We start from the raw sequence: 22,628 nt of genomic DNA on the forward strand, positions 1-22,628 counted from the left end.
ATGATGAGCTTTTTTCATATATATGTTGGCCGCATGAATGTCTTCTTTTGAGAACTGTCTGTTTATATCTTTCGCCCACTTTTTTATGGGGTTGTTTTTTTTCTTGTAAATGTGTTTAAGTTCTTTGTAGATTCTGGATATTAGCCCTTTGTCAGATGGATAGATTGCACAAATTTTCTCCCATTCTGTAGGTTGCCTGTTCACTCTGATGATAGTTTCTTCTGCTGTGGAGAAGCTCTTTAGTTTACTTAGATCTAATTTGTCAATTTTGGCTTTTGTTGCCATTGCTTTTGGTGTTTTAGTCATGAAGGCTTTGCTCATGCCTATGTCCTGAATGGTATTGCTTAGGTTTTCTTCTGGGGTTTTTATGGTTTTAGGTCTTATTTTTAAGTCTTTAATCCATCTTGAGTTAATTTTTGTATATGGTGTAAAAAAGGGGTCCGGTTTCTGTTTTCTGCATATGGCCAGTCAGTTTTCTGTTATTTGCCTTTTTATATATTGTCCAAATTTAAATTAACATGATCAAAAAATGCCCACACTTTGTCCAGAGAGATGGCTATCTCACACAATCCAGAGAGAACATGAAATGATTACAATTCTCAGGAGTATGTTTTATCCATTTGGATTTACTGCTTTAAAATATGCATATTTTGGTTGCATCAACTCTGTTTCTAAAATTTATTCTAAGAAAATGATAATCTATATACCCAGTGATTTAGCCTCAATTTTATTCATTGCAGCAATTATGTTTTTGTTACATATAACCCTCTTGGTCATTTAAAAGGAACCTAAAAGACAACATAATAACTAAACATATGTAAACTTTATTTGTAGGACGTGAACTGTATGTTTTATTTTCTTCATTTATATTCCTTCATTGGGGATATAACTTGAATTTTGCCATAGTTTAGACAATCTAGAATTACTTAAATAAAACAAGGACTACTATACTTTCCTCTTTGTCTTAATACCCCAATTAAAAACAGAAGAAAACATTTTTCAAATTTTTGATATTACATAGTGCACATTCTAAAATTTATTCTAGTTTGAAAAAATGTGCCATTGACCATAGAAGGTATTCAATGATTAAACATATTTCTCTGAAACAGATATCAAGTATGCTAATCTAGTTTAACCTCTTAACCTGCAGAACACCTCTAAATCAGTACTTAATATTGTTCGTAAGGAATACTTTTAGGGTGTTCTTAGAAACTTTACTGTCCTCTCAGGTAATGATTGGCCAAAGGGACTTTGAGCTTATGAGGTTAACTTTTGTGGTTGATTGGTTGGGTATTTCTAATTTCATTATAAATATGTAGAAATTTTTCTACATAGCAGTGATGGTCATGGCTGCTGAAAATCCTTTATAAAAGATTAATTTTACTCTAACTTCTAGACTGATGATTACTTTTATTATAAATGCTATATTTAAATGTCAGCTCTTTAAATATGGTGATTAATTTGCTTCCCTAACTATATTGCTCATAATTAAATTAACAGGCAAAAAAACCAAACAGAACCTCAATGCCTTGTGCTGAAGTAATTTTAATCTTATTTTCTTGAGACATCAATTAAATAATATTTCCAAAATATTATTATCCTATATATTATTATTTATTATTGTTATCCTATATTATCTTATTGTTATTTTTAGTCATAAAATATCAATTATGAGAAAATCTATTCTTAAAATATATAAATATATATATTAAGCCTCAATGCTAAGCACTTCCAACTCAAATAAAATATATAACTTCCTAACTGGAATGGCCTTACCTCTTTTTCTCAAACACAGTCATTTGGATGGAAATCAGAGGAGAAAGGCTAAGTGCCCAGGGCCCTAGAATCTTTGTATAAGAATGATCATATGCCACACATGGTTCAAATGGAAGAGATTACATGGCTCAGTTCCTTTCAAGAACGTCAAGTATTTTATTCCAAGTTCACTCTTACAGCAGCTGAATGCAAGATAAACAAGGCCCCTTGCCTATTGATATATTCTAAGCAAGCAGCAGAGGAGATTAAGCCTGTGTGCTAGCTTTCATGCAAAACACAACCACAGGGCTCCACAAGCCACAAGGAGCCTCAGATGTAGCCTTTTGCCATTATTACCAAAGGAGTTTTTATCGACATAGTCAGAGACTTGTATATGTATTAAAAGTCTTCATTTGACAAATATAAGTATGTAAAGCATATCACAATGTTGTTGGCTACCCTGGTTTGATAGCTCCCCATTTTTAGGATATGAGGAGTTTCAAAGAATAGACATATCTCAAATCTCTCAGGAATTCTGAGAGGCACTCAGCATACTCATTGGTTTAGAGACAAATCTTGATCAGATTTTATTTTGCATTGTGATTCCTTTTTTAAATTCAGTAAGAATTCTATGAGTTCTAAGTTTTCAGAGAATTTAGCCGGACTTAGAGCAATCTTCTTATGATTATTAAAGGCTAAATTTAGCTTCTTAATAATCATATATTCTTGAGTTAATTCCTTTTTCATTGTTAAAAAAGTGATGTAAGTATCTATATATCTCTTACCTCACAGTGTTAGTCTTCAAACAAGCCACTAGACCACCTAAGAAGAAGCATGTTAAATGCTCTAGCACCACCTGGAGGGTGAAGGGATGTCTGGGTACATTAAAGAGACCAGTTTCATAACCTATTATATTTATGCATAAATGATGCAGTGAGAGTTCTGTGTACTTGTGCTTACACTGTTCTACAGAATTACAAGAAAGAAATCAAGTGTTCTATGGAAAGTTAAACAAATATAACAAGACTCTATTTGAGAAACAGTTTGATTCTGGCTGAAGGATAATTGCAGGTTATAGATTACTGAAAGAAATTATTAAACATTTCACCTTTCACTGAAAAGAATGTGGCAACCCCAAATTAAAAGATGCAGAAACCTGAGTAATAAACTGGATGGTATTACCTAACTGGCTAGAAAATTGTCACTGTCGGTGGATAGGAGAGTGATGTATTGTTCTTTGTGTTTTTGGTCAGGTTCAGCCACAGGGAGTTTATGAAAGGAACTACCATGAAAGGAACTCTTCTGACTTAAATTGAAGACAGAGGACAGGAACCATTATACTTTGGCAGTCATTAGAGACCTAAGGTGGTCAGTCTTCCTTGTCAAATAAACAATCAACGAGCTAACTTCCTCACAAACATCTAGTGCTTTAGTTTATTTATAGGTAGTGAAACATGTTTTTTATAGTCCTAAAACAGACTTCACCCTAGTTCAATTCTGTGCTAATCAAATATATTAATAAACTTACTATACACAATTGTAGAGAGAAAATGTCTATGGCATTATAAATAAATTGTCACATATTTTTAATACCTATGCATAGTGTATTAGTTCATTTTCACATTGCTATAAAGACCTACCTGAGACTGCGTAATTTATGAAGAAAAGCGTATTAATTGGCTCACAGTTCCACAGGTTGTACAGGAAGCATGGCTGGAGAGGACTCAGGAAACTTACAACCACAGCGCAAGGCAAATGGAAAGCCAGCGTGTCCTAAACGGTTGGAGCAGGAGGAAGACAAAGAGGGAGATGCCACACACTTTTAAACAACCAGATCTTGTGAGAACTCTATCACAAGATAGGACTAGGGAGTGGTGTTAAACCATCAGAAATCACCCCCATGATCCAATCACCTCCCACCAGGTCCCACCTCCAACACTAGGGATTACAATTCAACATGAGATTTGGGTGGGGACACAGAGCCAAGCCATATCACGTAGTATCCTCAATTAAACCAAACAGGGTTGTTCAATTGTGTCAAAGTCATTGTAGAAATAATAGATTTCCTTAGAAAAAGATTTCCAACTTTCTTGGTACTTCATAAACAAATGAGGATAGCAGTGTGACTTTCTTAATACTCAGTAACTTGTCAGAAGTTTATCTGAAAAAACAAAGTGCCTCACTCTCTTGAGAAAGCTTTGGAAAGGAAAGGACATGACGCACACTATGGAAAGGAGTTTGAACATTTCTCAAAGAACTGAAAACAGAACTACCGTTCAATTCAGCAATCCAATTGCAGGCAATATATCCAAAGGAGAATAGACCATTTTACCAAAAAGATACATGCACTTTATGTTCATCACAGTGCTATTCACAATATCAAAGATATAGAAACAACCTAGGTGCCTATAATGATGGATTGGACAAAGAAAATCTGGTATATACACAACATGAAATATTATGTGGCCACAAAAAAGAATGAAATCATGCCTTCTGCAGCAACATGTTTGGAGCTACAGCCCATAATCCTAAGCAAACTAATGCAGCAACAGAAAACTAAATACCACACATTGTCACTTACTAGTGGGAGCTAAACATTGAGCACACATGGACATAAACATGGGGATAGTAGACACTGCAGACTACTAGAAGGTGGAGGAGGGGAGGTCAATGGTTGAAAAACTACCTATTGGATATTATGCTCACTATCTGGATGCAATATACCCATGTAAAAACCTGCACACATACCCCTGTATCTAGACTAAAAGTTGAAGTTTTTTTAAAAAAATACCAAACATGATCATGTTGAAAGTAACTATTTTTACCTGTATCAAATACATATGGCATTTACTATTTTACTATAGATATGTTCCCATTAATGTACTTTGATCTCCTTTGTAGACAGTATGGTCAGCTCTGATTGAAAGACTAGAGAGACATAAACAAGAGGCTCTTCAGTCTGACTTATTCAGTGCCAAGCACAATGGCATGAATAAAGCTGTATTGAAAACTTTATTTGGTTATGCCAAAGAAAATTTAATTATGACAGTGGCAGATGCAGATTTCAATTCCATTTCTGCACTTTTTCTTACAGGGCTTTCTGGCATTTCAAGGTTTTCCCAAGTCTTTCCTTAATAAAGCTTTAACCGACTTACTCAGTTTCATTCTAAATCTCATTTTCAATATCTGAAAGGCATAAAAGCCTTTTGAAAAGTCAAATATATGTTAGTTCACAGTAAAATACAACTATTGCAAAAAAATACACTTCTCCTCATTAGGACATAAGTATTTTCATCAAAGAGGAAAATGACTTCAATTTTATTTACAGGTAGTGAAAATTCCAAGCTAGTAAATGGTAATGCTATAATTGAAACTTGAGCTGGACGTGGTATCTCATGCCTGTAATCCCAGCACTTTGGGAGGCCAAGGCAGGAGCATCACTTCAGCCCAGGAGTTTGAGACCAGTCTGGGCAACGTAGCGAGACCCCATCTCTACAAAAAATAAAATATTAGCCAGGCATGGCAGCAAGTGCCTGTAGTTCCAGTTACTCAGGAGACTGAGGCAGGAGGATACCTTGAGCCCAGAAGTTCAAGGCTGCAGCGAGCTGTGGTCATGCCACTGCACTTAGGCCTGGGTAACAGAGAGAGACCCTGTCTCTACTTAAAAAAAAACATTTTTTAAACCTTGCATATATTAAGCCCCAATGCTAAGCACTTCCAACTCAAATATAGTTCCTTTGAATTTTCCAAGAAAAACATAATATTGCATGTTCATGTCTCATTGCATCAGGATGCATCTAGCTCACTTCTTCTTTACATAGAATGAGATGCTTTGATAGGTAATGGTTTAAGGTACATTTATTACCAGTGGTTAGCTGCAGGAATATAAACTAATGTTAATAACATGAATAAAATATAATTTGGATAGTGAAGTTATTGTTATTTTTGCACATATGCATACATGTAGCCTTCCATTAGATTGGATAATTGACACTTGATTGTGTAGGCCAGAATCTGGGAATAAAGATTATTGATATGATGATGTCTTGGAGGGAGCTTGAGATACAATCTATACAACTCCTTACCTGTAAACATGTCATGCACTGGAAAAACATACATTTTTAGTTCATTTTAAAGATCTATTATAATGCATAAATGGTTATAAATTATCTTCTTAAAGTCTTTCTGGAATGGAATTTCTAGAAGCCTCTTCTAAAAGGTTTACACTTTTGTTTTTCATATCAAATTTTGGTTGCATTAAATAGGATTTTGTCAATGCCCCCGTTTGACCATTGACAAAGGTGAAAAATAAGGCTTTTTAAAAAGATAATTTGCACTTCTTATTTAAAATTAGCTCTTTGTTCTAAGAATAGATGTCATTTTAAAAAGAGTGATGTCACTGTCAAAAACCTGGTTCCATAATCCCTTTAGTATTCCAATTGTCTGTCCTGAATATTCCTTATTCTTATATTTGATACTGTAATCTCTAGTCTGCATATCTTCTTTTGATGAGCTTTTCTTAATGGTGTGTAGTAATTTTTTAAATTTCTTTTTACTTCCATGTTGCAAATATTTTTCCCAACATTTATTTGTTTTCCATAAGCAGTGTTTGCTTTAATGAGATTATATTAATTAGACTTTTCCTGAATTACTTCAGGATTTTTTGTTTTGGTGAAGTGGGCTTTCCTGATCACAATCCTACATTAATTTTTTGTGCTTTTGTTTTGATATGGCTGTAGTTAGCATTTATTTTGTTTTGGTTTGTTTATGTTTTACATTTAGTTCTTTTATCTAAAATGTATTGTGTGTGGTTTGAAGTAAGAGTCAACTTTTATTTTTAAAATCCATGGTAACTGTACTAACATTAATGAATACTTTATTTTTTATTTTCTTAAATGCTCCATTTCAAGTCAAACTATCTTTGTTTGCAGATGACATGATCCTATATCTAGAAAACCCCATTGTCTCAGACCAAAAGCTTCTTAAGTTAGTATACAACTTCAGCAAAGTCTCAGGATACAAAATCAGTGTGCAAAAATTGTTAGCATTTCTATACACCAACAATAGGCAAGCCAAGAGCCAAATCATGAATGAACTCCCATTCACAGTTGCCACAAAAAGAATCAAATACCTAGAAATACAGCTAACGAAGTGAAGAACCTCTTCAAGGAGAACTACAAACTACTGCTCAAAGAAATCAGAGATAACGAAAACAAATGGAAAAATATTCCATGCTCATGGATAGGAAGAATCAATATTGTGAAAATGGCCATACAGCCCAAGGCAATTTATAGATTCAATGCTATTCCCATTAAACTACCACTGACATTCTTCACAGAATTAGAAAAAGCCATTTTAAAATTCACATGGAACCAAACAAGAGAATGAATAGCCAAGACAATTGGAAGCAAAAAGAACAAAGCTGAAGGCATCATGTTACCAGACTTCAAACTGTACAACAGGGCTACCATGACCAAAACAACATGGTACTGGTATAAAAATAGACACATAGACCAATGGAACAGAATAGAGAGCCCAGAAATAAGACCACACACCTACAGCTATCTGATTTTCAACAAACCTGACAAAAACAAGCAATTGGGAAAGGATTCCCTATTCAATAAATGCTGCTGGGATAACTGCTTAGCCATATGGAGAAGACTGAATGAAACTGGACTCGTTCCTTACACCACATACAAAAATCAACTCAAGATGGGTTAAAGACTTAAATGTAAAACCCAACAACTATAAAAATCCTGAAAGACAACCTAGGCAATACCATTTAGGACATGGGCATGTGCAAAGTTTTCATGACAAAGATGCCAAAAGCAATTGCAACAAAGGCAAAAATTGACAAATGGGATCTAGTCAAACTAAAGAGCTTCTGCATAGCTAAAAACTATCATCAGAGTGAACAGACAACCTACAGAATGGGAGAAAATTTTTGCAATCGATCCATGTGATAAAGTTCTAATATTCATCATATACAAGGAACTTAAACAAATTTACAAGAAAAAAAACATTAAAAAGTGGGCAAATGATATGAACAGACACTTCTCAAAAGAAGACATACATGTGGCCAAAAAATTATGAAAAAAAGCACATCATCACTGATGATTAGAGAAATGCAAATAAAAAACACTAAGAGATACCATCTCACAGCAATCAGAATGGTTATCATTAAAAAGTCAAAAAACTACAGATGCTGGAGTGGTTGTGGAGAAAAAGGAATGCTTTTACACCTTGGTAGGAGTGTAAATTAGTTTCACGATTGTGGAAGACAATGTGGCAATTCCTCAAAGACCTAGAAACAGAAATACTGTTTGACTCAGCAATCCCATTACCCAAAGGAATATAAATCATTCTATTATAAAGATACATGTACACGTATGTTCACTGCAACACTTTACAATAGCAAAGACATGATATCAACCTAAATGCCCATGAATGATAGACTGGATAAAGAAAATATGGTACATATACATCACAGAATACTATGCAGCCATAAAAAAGAATAAGATCAAGTCCTTTGCAGGGACATGGATGGAGCTAGAGCCCATTATCCTCACCAAACTAACGCAGGATCAGAAAGCCAAACACTGCATGTTCTCACTTATAAGTGGAAGCTGAACAATGAGAACACATGGACACACGGCAGGGAACAACAACACACACTGAGGCCTATCTGTGGGTGGTGGGGGAAGAGGGAGACCATCAGGAAGGATAGCTAATGCATGCTGGGCTTAATACCTAGGTGATGGCATGATCTATGCAGCAAACCACCATGGCACACGTTTACTTACATAACAAATGTGCACATCCTGCACATGTACCGCTGAACTTAAAATTAAAATAAATAAAATAAATACTCCCTTTCAGGGGTGAAGGATGAATAATTTCTTCACTGCATTGAAATTACAAACTAAACTTTCATAAAAATGTTATAAATATATTTATATGACATATACTATAATTATATGTATTTATATAATCAAGTATATTTTTTCATTCTATAAAATATGTAATATATTATACTTTATATATTTATATTTTATATTTTTCATATATATGAATATTCACATATATCTACTTAGCTTTGTAAACCATTTTATTGATTTATTTCTACGAACTTTTACTAATACCACGGTTTCAATTATGTAAATAAAATGGAATTTTAATATTTGACAGGAAAAATAACCCCCCAACTTCAATCCTTTTTACAAAATAATCTTTTCAATGCTGTGTAAGGTCTGTCAAATGTATGATAGACATGGCTTGTTGAATTTCCATCTTGAATTGTTTTTCCTGATCTTTTTCTTATATATCAGCTTACAGAGTACTTTGGCATCTCTAAAAATGACTAATGAGGGTTTTGTTAGTATTATTATGGCAGGTAAATAGATATTATAGATGGATATCATAGAGTTATAATTCATATGCCATAAAATGCACACTTTCCAAGTGTACAATGTGGTTTTTAATATATCCACAAGGCTGTGCAACCACTGTCACTAATTCAGGAACATTTTCATCATCCCCCAAAGAAACTATTAGTGGTTATTTTCCAGTCCCTCATTCCTCCAGCTCTGGAAACCACATATCAATTTTCTGTCTCCATAGATTTGCCTTTTCTGAACATTTCAAATAAATAGATTCATATGGAAGTTTCTAGTTCCAAAATGGTAGCAGATAAGCAAACTAGCTTAACTTCCTCACACTGAAAACCAAAAACAAAGATACAGCACTGAGATTACCACCTGTAATGTCCCAGAATTCAAATATGATGATGAAACAGTTCCTGGAGCTACAGGGAATAAAAAAAATCTTCCCCCAATTTGGTCAGCACCAAGTGTATGGAAAATATTCCCCCAATTCCAGTTTCTACACTGGAAAAAAATGAGATTGAGATGGACAACCAGCTTCTGTACCACCTTTGGTTCCCTGGCAGGAGACCTGTCCCTGCCTCAACACACAGGAAGCATGGCAAGTACCTGAAGGGAGAAAAAGCCCTGAGGACAGTCGGAGACAAAGAAGGGAGGCAGGAGTACTATCCTCAGGCCTGGAAACTCTGCTACGTAATAGAGGATACCAAATCAGAGTGACTTTTTAGCAGCACCACAATGTAAGAGGTACACTTCACAAGTCCCCCGAGGAATCCCTAGCCAGCCTTCCCACTCTGCCAGGATATCCCTTTTGGGACCTCCCCCATTCAGGAGGGCCAGTACGCCGATCCTTTCCTGTAGAAAAGTCAAGCCTGAACGTACAGCGCCGTCTAGTGGCAACAGGAGGCAGACACCTAGTGGGAAAAGCAAAAGAAATTCAAGTAAATTACAAAGAATCTCTAAGCAACTATATCCAATAAAAAACAAAACAAGCCAGACAAAGAAGACTGGAATAAATCCTCCAAGCAACAATATAGATTTACATACACAAAGACAACAGCAACCAGGGAGCCACGACCTCCTTAAATAGACAAGGCAAGGAACCAGTAACCGACCCTAATGAAGTGGTGGTATGTGACCTCTCTGACGAATAATTCAAAATAGCAGTGGTAAGGAAAGCCAATAATCCCCAAAATAACACAGAAAAAGCATTGCAGAAGTTTATCAGAGAACCTTAACAAAGATATTGAAATAATTTTAAAAAGTAAAACAGAATTCTTGGAACTGAGAAATACACTTACTCAGCTGAAATATTCATTAGAGACTCTCAGCAGCAGAAACAGATTAATAGAGGAATGAATTTATCAGCTTGAAGAAGCCTATTTGAAAATATAGTCAGAGAAAAAAAAAGAGAATGGAAAGCAACAAAAATTACCTACAACATATAGAAGATCACCTCAAAAGACCAAATGTGGGAATTATTGGTATTCAAGAGGAAGTTGACCAAGAGCAAGGAGTAAAAAGCTTATTCAAAGGAATATTAATAGAAAAGGTTCCAAAACTTGAGAAAGACATAAATATCCAGGTACAGGAAGGCCAGAGAACACCAAACAGATTTGATCCAAATGAGACTACTCTAAGGAATTTAATAATCACACTCTCAAAAGTCAAGGGCATAGAGAGGATCTTAAAGGCAACAAGAGAAAAGACAAATAACGTATTTTAAAAAACATGAAAAGTAGCTCCAATTCCTCTGACAACAGACTTCTCAACAGAAGCCATACATGCCAGGAGAGAGTGATAACATTTTCAAGGTGCTGAAAGAAAAAAAAAACTGCTATCTAAGAATACCATATCCAGAAAAGCTCTCCTTCAAATATGAAGGAGAGAGAAAGTCTTTCCAAGGCAAACAAAAGCTGAGATAATTCACCACCACCAGACTTGTCTTACAAGAAATGCTAAAGGGAATTCTTCAACCTGAAAGAAAGAAAATGTTAATTTGCAAAAAGAAAACATTTGAAGGTATAAAACTCAGTGATAAAATTAAATACACAGACAAACCCAGAATTCCCTAATACTGTAATTGCGGTTTGCAATCCACTCATAATTGTACTATGACACATAAAAGACAAATCTCTCAAAAACAATAGCAATAGCAACCTCTTAAGAGATAGTAAAAATATATAAATTGAGACAACCAAAAGTCAAATTGTAGGAAAAATAGAGTTAAAGTGTAGAGGTATTTTTAAGTTATTTTGTTTTATTCTTTTTTCTCATCAAAGATAAGCTGTCATCTCTTTGAAATGACTTTTTATATCTATAAGATGTATTCTGTAAGCCTCGTGGTAACCACAATACAAAAACCAACAATATGCATTGATATGGCTTGGCTGTTTCCCCACCCAAATCTCATCTTGAATTGTAGCACCCATAATCCCCATGTGTCATGGGAGGAAGCTGGTGGGAGATAATTGAATCATGGGGGCAGGTTTTTTCCATGCTGTTCTCATGATAGTGAATAAGTCTCACAAGATCTGACGGTTTTATAAAGGGCAGTTCCCCTGCACACACTCACTTGCCTGCCCCCATGTAAGACATGCCTTTGCTACTCCTTTGCTTTCTGCCCTGTGAGGTCTCCCCAGCCATGTGAAACTGTGAGTCCATTAAACCTCTTTTTCTTTATAAATTACCTAGTCTCAGGTATATCCTTATAGCAGCGTGAGAACAGACTAATACATATTTATATACTAAAAATAAAAAGCAACAAATTAAAAGATACCACCAGAAAAAAACAATTATCCTCAAAGGAAGACAGTGAAAAAAGAAGACAGGAAGTGAGGAGTTACAAAATAACCAGAAAAGAACCAACAACAAAAAGGCGATAAGTCCTTACTTATCAATAACATCTCAATGTAAATGAACTGGATTCTCTAATTAAAATGCATAGGGTGGCTGAATAGGTAAAGAAAGAAGACTCAGCTATATACTGCCTCCAAGAAACACACATCACATATGAAGACACACATAGATTAAAAGGGAAGGTATGGAAGAAGATATTCCATGGAAATAGAAACTAAAAAAGAGCAGTAGTAGCTAATCTTATATTAAATGAAATAGATTACAAGTCAAAGACTGTAAAAGAGACAAAAAAGGTCATTATGTAATCATGAAGGATATTACAAGTAAGAGAATATAACAATTATAAATACTTATGTTCCCAAGAAGGGAACACCCAAGTATATAAAGCAAACATTAATAGATCTAAAGGGAGAGATAGACTGCAATGCAATAATAGTAGGGGCATTTAACACCACATTCTCAGTAATGAAGAGCTCATTCGGAGAGAAAATCCACAAAGAAACATCAGATTTAAACTACGTACTTGACCAAATGGACCTGATACACATTTGCAAAATACTTCACTCAACTGCTACAGAATACAAATACTTTTCATCAGCTCATAAAACATTCTCCAGGATAGACCATATCTTGGACTACAAAACAAGTTGTGACAAATTTTTAAAAGTAGAAATTCTATCAAGTATCTTTTTAAATTTTTAACTTTTGTGGGTACAGAGTGGCTGTGTTTGTTTATGGGTTACATGAAATATTTTGATACAGGTATGCAATGCATAATAATCACTTCAGGGCAAATGGGGTATCCATCACCCAATTTATCCTTTATATTACAAACAATCCAATTTTACTCTTTCAGTTATTTTTTAATGTACAGTTACATTACTTTTTACTATAGTCACCCTGTTGTGCTGGCAAATGCTAGGTCTTATTCATTATTTCTAAAATTTTTTAGTACACATTAACCATCTCCACATCTCCCCCAGCCACTCACTTCCCTTCCTATCCTTTCATAACCATCCTTCTACTTTCTGTCTTTATGAGTGCAACTGTTTTCATTTTTGGCTTCCACAAAATCACAAAGTAAGTAAGACCATGAAACATTTGTCTTTCTGTACTTGGCTTGTTTCACTTAATGTAATGACCTCCAGTTCTATCTATGTTGTTGCAAATGACAGGACCTCATTCTTTTTATGGCTGAACAGTACTGGATTGTCTATATGTACCATGTTTCTCTTCCACTCATCTGTTAGTGGACACTTAGGTTGCTCCCAAATATTGGCCATTGTGAATAGTGCTTCAATAAACATGGCAGTGCAGATGTCTCTTCGATATAGTGATTTTCCATCCTTTGGGTATATACCTAGCAGTGGGATTGCAGGATCATATGGTAGCTCTATTTTTAGTATTTTGAGAAACTTCCAAACTGTTCTCCATAGTGGTTGTACTAATTTACATCTCTGCCAACAGTGTACCAGGGTTCTCTTTCCCCACATCCTCACCAACATTTGTTATTGCCTGTCTTTTGAATGAAATTTATTTTAATAGGGGTGAGATGATATTCATTATAGTTTTGATTTGCATTTCTCTGATGATCAATGATGTTGAGCATCTTTTCATATACCTGTTTGGCGTTTGTATGTCTTCTTTCCTGAAATGTCTTTTTTCCATTTTTTGATTGGATTATTAGATTTTTTCCCATAGAGTTGTTTCAGCTCTTTATATATTCTGGTTATTAATCCCTTGTCAGATGGGTAATTTGCAAATATTTTCTCCTTCTATGGGTTGCCTCTTCATTTTGTTGATTGTTTCTTTTGCTGTGCAAAGCTTTTTAACTTGACATGATCCCACTTGTCCATTTTTGCCTTGGTTACCTGTGCTTGTGAGGTATTACTCAAAAAATCTTTGCCCAGTCCAATGTCCTGGAGAGTTTTCCCAAAGGTTTCTCATAATAGTTTCATAGTTTCATAGTTTGAGGTATTAGATTTAAGTCTGTGTTCCATTTTGATTTGATTTTTGTATATGGTGAGAGATAGGGGTATAATTTCATTCTTCTGCACCACTATAGATGTATGAATTTATTTCTGAATTTTCTATTCTGTTCCACTAGTCTATGTGTCTGTTTTTATGCCAGTACAATGCCATTTTGGTTACTATAACTCTGTAGTATAAATTGAAGTCAGGTAATGTTATTCCTCCAGTATTTTCTTTTCTTTTTGCTTAGGATAGCTTTGGCTATTCAGTCTCTTTTGTGGTTCCATATAAATTTTAGGATAGTTTTTTTCTATTTCTGTGAAGAATATAATTGGTATTTTGATAAGAATTGCATTGCATCTGTAGATTGCTTTGGACATTTTAAACAATATTGATTCTTCCAAGTCATGAACATGGAATGTCATTCTTTCTTTTTCTTTTTTTGCATCCTCTTCAGTTTCTTTTATCAATGTTTTAGAGTTTTCATTGTAGAGATTTTTCATTTGTTTGGTTAAGTTAATTTCCAGGTATTTTATTTTATTTTATTTGTGGCTATTGTAAATGAAATTACTTTCTTGATTTCTTTTTCAGATTGTTTGCTGTTGGCATGTAGAAATGCTACTGATTTTTATGTTGATTTTGTGTCATGTAACTCTACTGAATTTGTTGATCTATTCTAATCATTTGTTGGTGAAGTCTTTAGCTTTTCCCAACATAAGATTATATTATCTGCAAAAAAGCATAATTTGACTTTTTCCTTTCCAATTTGTATGCCCTTTATTTCTTTCTCTTGTCTGATTGTTCTAGCTAGGACTTCCACTACTATGTTGAATAATCTTGGTGAAAGCGGAATCCTTGTCATATTCCAGATTGTAGAGGAAATGCTTTCAGTTTTTCTCAATTCAGTATGATACTAGCTGTGGGACTGTTATATATGGCTTTTATGATGTTGAGGTATATTCATTCTATACCTACCTTTTTTTACGGTTTTTATCTTGAAGGGATGTTAAATTTTATCAAATGTTTTTTTCAGAATCAATTGAAATAATTATATGGTTTTTGTCCTTCATTTTGTCGATATAATGTATCACATTGATTAATTTGCATATGTTGGACTATCCTTGCATCCCTGGGCTAAATCCCATTGGGTCATAATAAATAATCTTTTTAATGTGCTGTTGAATTCTCTTTGCTAGTATTTTGTTGAGGATTTTTGCACCAATATTCATCAGGGATATCGGCCTGTAGTTTGTTTTTTTTTTTTAATGACTCTGATTTAGGGTAATACTAACCTTGTAGAATGAGTTTAGAAGTGCTGCCTCCTGCTCTACTTTTTAAAAATAACTTGAGTAAGATTGTTATTAGTTCTTTAAATGTTCGGTAGAATTAGGCAGTTAAGCCATTGGGTCCCAAGATTTTCTTTGCTGGAACACTTTATTATGGCTTTGATATCATTGCTTGTTGTTGGTCTGCTCAGGTTTTGAATTTCTCCATGGTTCAATCTTGGTAGGTTATATGTGTTATGTGTCTAGGAGTTTATCCATTTCTTCTAGATTTTCCAATTTACTGAAATATAGTTGTTCATAGTAGCCACTAATGATCCTTTGAATTTCTATCATACCAATTGTAAAGTCTCTTTTTATCTTGAGTCTATTTATTTGGGTATTCACTCTTTTTTTTTTTTTTTAAGTCTGGCTACAGATTTGTCAATTTTGTTGATCTGTTCAAAAAATCTATGACCTGTGTCATTGATTTTTTTATTTTTTCATTTCAAACTCATTTATTTATGTTCTGATCCTTATTTCTTTTCTTCCCTTTCATTACCTTTAATGGCAAAAACAATTACTTTTGCACCAACCTAACATTTATTTAAAGCTTTTCTTCTTTTTATATGCAGGTGCTTATTGCTGTAAATTTCTCTCTTAGTACTACTTTTGCTGTATCCCATAGGTTTTGAAATGTAGTATTTCCATTATCATTTTTTTCAAAAAAATTTTTCATTTTTAAAAATTTCTCCATTATCCCACTGGTCATTCGGGAGCATATATTTTAATTTCCATGTTTTTGTATAGCTACCAAAATTACTCTTGTTATTGATTTCTGGTTTTATTCCATTGTGGTTAGAGAAGATGCTTGCTATAATTTCAATTGTTTAAAATGTTTTAAGACTTTTTCGTGACCTAAAATATGGTCTATCCTTTAGAATAATCCATGTGCTGAGAAAAAAATGTGTATTCTGCAGCCTTTGGATGAAATGTTCTGTAAATATATGTTAGGTCCACTTGGTCTATACTGCAGATTAAGACCAATATTTCTTTGTTGATTTCTTGTCTGAAATATCTGTTCAGTGCTGAAGGTGGGGTGTTGAAGTCTCCAGCTATTATTGTATTGAGGTCTATCTCTCTCTTTAGCCCTAATAATATTTGCTTTATATATCTGAGTACTCCAGTGTTGGATGCATATACGTTTACAATTGTTATATCCTCTTGCTGAATTGACCCCACTATCATTATGTAATGACCTTCTTTGTCTCTTCTTACAGTTTTTGTCTTGAAATCTATTTTGTCTTATAAAAGTATAGCTACTTCTGCTCTCTTCTGTGGTTTCCATTGGCGTGGAATACCCTTTTGCATCCCTTCATTTTCAGTCTATGTGTGTCTTTACAAGTGAAATGTGTTTCCTAAGGCAATAAATCATTAGGTCTTGTTTTTTGTTGTTGTTGTTTTTTGTTTTGTTTTGTTTTTTTAATCCATTCAGTCACTCTATGTCTCTTTATTATAGAGTTCAGTTCATTTATGTGTTATTGATAAGTAAGGACTTATTCCTGCCATTTTATTATTTGTTTTCTGGTTGTTTTGTGATTTTCTTTTTTTTCTTTCTTTCCTTTCTGTCTTCCTTTTAATGAAGATTTTCTCTGGTTGTATGATTTAATTTCTTCCTTTTCATTTTTTTGTGTATCTGTATTAGGGTTCTCTAGAGGGACAGAACTAATAGGATATATATATGTATGTATGTGTATATATAGATGTATGTATATGTATATCTATCCATGTGTGTGTGTGTGTATATATATATATATATATATATATATATATATATATATGAGTTTATTACAGAATATTGACTCACACAATCACAGGTTGTGTAAGTCCCATAATAGGCTGTCTGCAAGCTGAGAAGCAAGGAAGCCAGGCCAAGTCCCAAAACCTCAAAAGTAGGTAAGCTGATAGTGCAGCCTTCGCTCTGTGGTTGAAGTTCCAAGAGTACCAAAGCTGATAAACTTGGAGTTTGATGTTCAAGGCCAGGAAGCATCCAGCATGGGAGAAAGATGGAAGCCAGGAGACAGCCAGTATAGTCTTTCCGTGTTCTTCTGACTGCTTTTTATTCTGGCCACACTGGCAGCTGATTAAATTGCACCCGCCCAGATTGAGGGTGAGTCTGCCTTTCCCAGTCCACTGACTCAAATGTTAATCTCCTTTGGCAACATTCTCACAGACACACCCAGGAATGATACTTTGTATCTTTCAATCCGATTAAGTTGACAATATTAACCAATGCAAGTCCACCCTTTGTCCACTTGAACCCATACACACCTTCTGAAATCATACATAATCTTCAAATAAAGACAGTAATAAGGTCATAATTATGCCTAACATATAAACAGCTATCCTTTGTACAACCGGAAATGCACCAATCTCCAACCCAAATGCTATTATGCAAAGTTAACAACACTTAAAAGCTGATTTGGAGTCAATAAATCTTATATCACATGATAAAGGAAAAAGAAAGGAAATAAAATGAAGATATTTTCTTAGTACAAGTGTATATGGTATCCATTGTGTGTTTTTAAACTTGAGGTTACCATAGGATTCTCTCTCCATGCCACATGACCACTGCCAGTGGATGGGTGAGGGGTGGCATTGGCAATTCAAACTGTCTTTTCTATTCTTTTCAGTGCCTCTTCAGTGGTATTAAATTACAGCCAGGAACTATGAGGGTTCACCTGATTTTTGTTTCTTTTGAAGGTGATTTTCCTGAGTAGAGAGTTGTTTAATTTGGTGTTTTTACTGGGGAGGCAGTCAGTGGAGCCTTCTATTTTACTATACTGCTCCATTTTCTCTCAAGTATCTTTTTTGACCATAATGGACTGAAGTAGAAATCAATAAAAATATACAAACACATGAAGATTAAACATGCTCCCGAATGACCAATAAATCCATAAAGAAGTTAAAAAGAAAAAACTTTCCTGAAACAAATAAAAATGTAAACACAACATACCAAAATCTATGGAACACAGCAAAAGCAGTACTAGGAAGAAAGTTTATAACAATAAACACCTACATCAGAAAAGCAGGAAGACTTCAAATAAAAAACCAATATTGCACCTCAGGTAGCTAGGAAAGGAACACCAACCAAACCAAAATTATTAGAAGTAAAGAAATAATAAACATCAGAGCAAAAGTAAATGAGATTGTGACTGCAAAACCAATACAGAACAATAAAAGAAAAGTTGATTTTTGAAAATGTAAATGAAATAAACGGACCTTTATCTGAACTAACATAAAAAAGAGAGAGGAAGCCCAAATAGTAAAATGAAAAATTAAAAAGGAGACATAACAGCTGAGACTACAGAAATACAATAATCATTACAGATTATAAGGTTGGTGCAAAAGTAATTGCGGTTTTTAATATCATGACTATCTATACCAAAAAATTAGAAAACCTAGAAGAAATGCGTAAATACCTGGATACATTCAATCTATCAACATTGAACTACGAAAAAATAGAAAACCTCAATAAATTAATACTGTGTAACAAGATCAAAGCCATAATAAAAAGTCTCCCATCAAAGAAAATCCCAGGATCTAATGGCTTCACTGCTGAAATCTACCAAACATTTAAAGAAGAACTAACACAAATTCTACTCAAACTCTTCAAAAATATTGAAGAGGAGGGAATACTTCCAAACTCATTCTACAGGCCAGCAGTATGCTGACACCAAAACCAGGCAAAAATACACACACACAAAAAGATAACTGCAGGCTAATAGCACTGATGAACATAGATGTGAAAATCCTCAACAAAATCCTAGAAAACTGAATTCAACATTACCTTAAAAAGATCATCCATCATGACCAAGTGGGATTTATCTTAGGGATGGGAAGGGTGGTTCAACATATGCAACTCAATAAATGTGATACATTACATTAATAGAACCAAGAACAAAAACCATATAATTATTTCAATAGATGCTGAAAAGCATTCGATAAAATTCAACACCTCTTTGTGATAAAAAAAAAAACCACCCTCAACAAACTGGGTATAGAGGGAGAAACCTCAAAATGATAAAATCCATATATGAAAAACCCACAGCCAACATCATACTAAACAGGTAAACACTGAAAGCCTTTCCTCTAAGATCTGAAACAATACAAGAATACCAATTTTTACCACTTTTACTTAACAGAATACTGAAATTCCTGGCCTGAACAATTAAGCAAAGAAAAGAAATAAAGGGCATCTAGGTTGGGAAAAAAAGAAGTCAAGTTAGCCTTATTTGCAGGTGATGTGATTTTATATTTAGAAAAACCAAAAGATACCACCAAAAAAATTGTTAGAACTGATTAACAAATATAATATAGTTGCAGGATACAAAATAAACATAAAACAATTAGTAGCATTTATATACACCAATGGTGAACAATCTGAAAAAGAAAGTAAGAAGAGAAACCCACTTATAATAGCTACAAAAAATATAAAATACAAAATATCTAGGAATCAATTTAATCAAAGAAGGGAAAGCCCTGTATAAGGAAAACTATAAAACTCTGAAAAAAGAAATTGAACAGAATACAAAAAAATAGAAAGGCATTCCATGCTCATAGATTAGAAGAATTAGTATTGCTAAAACGACAATACCACCCAAAATAATTTACAGATTCAATGTAACCTCTATCAAAATACTATTTATATTCTTCCCAGAAATTGGAAAAATATTATAAAATTTATATGGCACCACAAAAGACCCCAAGTAGCCAAAGCAGTCCTGAGCAAAAAGTACAAAGCTGGAAGCCATCCCTGACTTCAAAATTTATTACAAAGCTGTAGTAACCAAAAGAGCATGGTAATGGCATAAAAACAGACACATACACCAATGGAACAGAATTGAGAATGCAGATACAAATTCATATATTTAAAGCCAACTCATTTTTGACAAAGGCACCAAGAACATAAAAATGGGGAAAGGACAGGCTTCAATAAATGGTGGTGGAAAAATGAAATAGCCATATGCAGAAGAATGAAACTAGGCTCCTATCTCTCACCTTATTTAAAAATCAAATCAAAATGGACTAAAGACTTAAATCTAAGACTTGAAACCATGAACCGACTAGAATAAAACATTGGGATAATGCTCTAGGACCTTGGTCTGGGCAAAAATTTCTTGAGTTAAGACCTCAAAAGCATGGGCAACAAAAGCAAAGATAGACAAATGAGATTACATCAAGCTAAAAAGCTTCTGCACAGCAAAGGAAGCAATAAACGAAGTGAATAGACAACCCACATAATGAGAAAAAAAAATGCAAACAATCCATTTGACAAGGTACTACTACTAACCAGAATATATGAGGAGCTCAACTCAATCGTGAAAACACAAGTAATCCAGTTTAAAATGAGCAAAAGTTCTGGATAGAAATTTCTCAGAAGAAGATTAACAATGAGAAACAAATATACAAAAAAAGTGCTCAACATCACTAATCTTCAGAGAAATGTAAATCAAAACCACATTGAGATATCATCTCACCCCAACAAAAATGACTTTTATCAAAAAATCTGGCAATAATGGATGCTAACAAGGATGAAGCAAAAGGAGAACCCTTATACACTGTTGGTGGGAACGTAGATTAGTACAGCCACTATGGAGAACGATATGGAGGTTCCTCAAAAGACTAAAAATAGAACTATCATATATAACCCAGCAATTCCACTACAGGGTATATATCCAAAAGAAAGAAAATTGGTATATTGAAGAGACATCTGCACTCCAATGTTTATTGCAGCACTATTCATATAGCCAAGATAGGGAATCAATCTAAGTGCCCATCAATGGATGAATGGATAAAGAAAATGTGATACATATATACAATGGAATATTATTTAGACATAAAAAGAATGAAATCCTGTCATTTGCAGCAACATGAATGGAACTGGAGGTTTTTACTTGAAATATGTTAATCACTGAAAGATAAATATCGTATGTTCTCACTCATATGTGAGAGATTAAAAAAAGCAGATCTTTTTTTAAGTTTGAGAGTAGATTAATGGTTACCAGAGGCCAGAAGGGTAGAGGGGAGGTGGAGGATAAATAGAAGTTGATTAATGGGCACAAATATACAGCAAGTTAGAAAAAATAAAGCCTAGTGTTCAATAAATCAGAAGGGAGATACAGTTAACATCAATCGATTGTAAACTTCAAAATAGGCAGGAGAGAATAACTTAATTGTTTTTAGCATAAAGTAAAGATAAATAGTTTAGGTGATGGATATCATGATTACTTATGATATCCTAATTTTTACACATTATTTTACACATTACATGAATGTATCAAATTATTGCATATGCCCCCAAAATATGTACATCTATTATGTATCAATAAAAATTATATTAAAAAATAGATTTATATAATATGTAGCTCTTTGTGTCTGGTTTCTTTCACTTAACATAATGCTTTCAAGGTCCATCCATGTTGTAGCATGTATCAAAACTTCATTCTTTTTAAAGCTGACAATATTTCATCATATAGATATACATCATTTTGTTCATCCATTTGTCAGTTCATGGACTTTGAGCTGTTTCTACCTCTTAGCTATTATAAATACCGTTACTATGAACATTTGTGTACAAGTTTTTGTGTGACCAAATTTTTTCATTTCTCTGGATACATGCTAGGAGTCTAATTGCTAGGTCATGCGGTAACTATGTTTAGGTTCTTTAGGAATGCAAAGCCATTTTTTAAAGTGCCTGCACTATTTTACATTTTCACTAGCAATGTATTTTATCCAGAAATGTATGAAGATTTCAATTTCTCCACATCCTCATCAACACTTGTTATTGCCCATGGTTTTTATTCTAGCCATTCTAGTGGGTATAAAGTGGTATCTCATTGTGTTTTCAAATTGCATTAACCTAGTGACTAATGGTGTCATCTCTGAGTATCTTCTCATTTGTTTGTTGGCCATTTGTATATTTTCTCTACAGAAATTACTTTTCAAATATCTTGTGCATTTTAAATTTCTATTTTTTTGTTAATATTATTTTTAATTGACAAATCTTAATTGTATACATTTATGGAGTATGATTTGATATTTTGACATATGTATATAGTGTGGAATGGCTAGATCAAGTTAATCAATATATCCATCACTTCACTTACTTACCATTTTCTGTGATGAGACACTTGAAATTTACTAGGCTATTTTGAAGTATAGGATACATTATTATTAACTAGAGTCATCCTGCTGTGCAATAGATCTAAAAAGCTTTTTTCCTCCTGTCTAACCGAAACTTTATATCCTTTGACCAGTATCTCCCCATTTCCCCCACCCCCAACCCTCCAGTAACCACCATTCTATTCTCTGCTTTTATAAGTTCAGATTTCTTAGA

The sequence above is a fragment of the Homo sapiens genome, chromosome 5 (genome assembly GCF_000001405.40).
Source record: "Homo sapiens chromosome 5, GRCh38.p14 Primary Assembly".
Classification (NCBI taxonomy): Eukaryota; Metazoa; Chordata; class Mammalia; order Primates; family Hominidae; genus Homo; species Homo sapiens.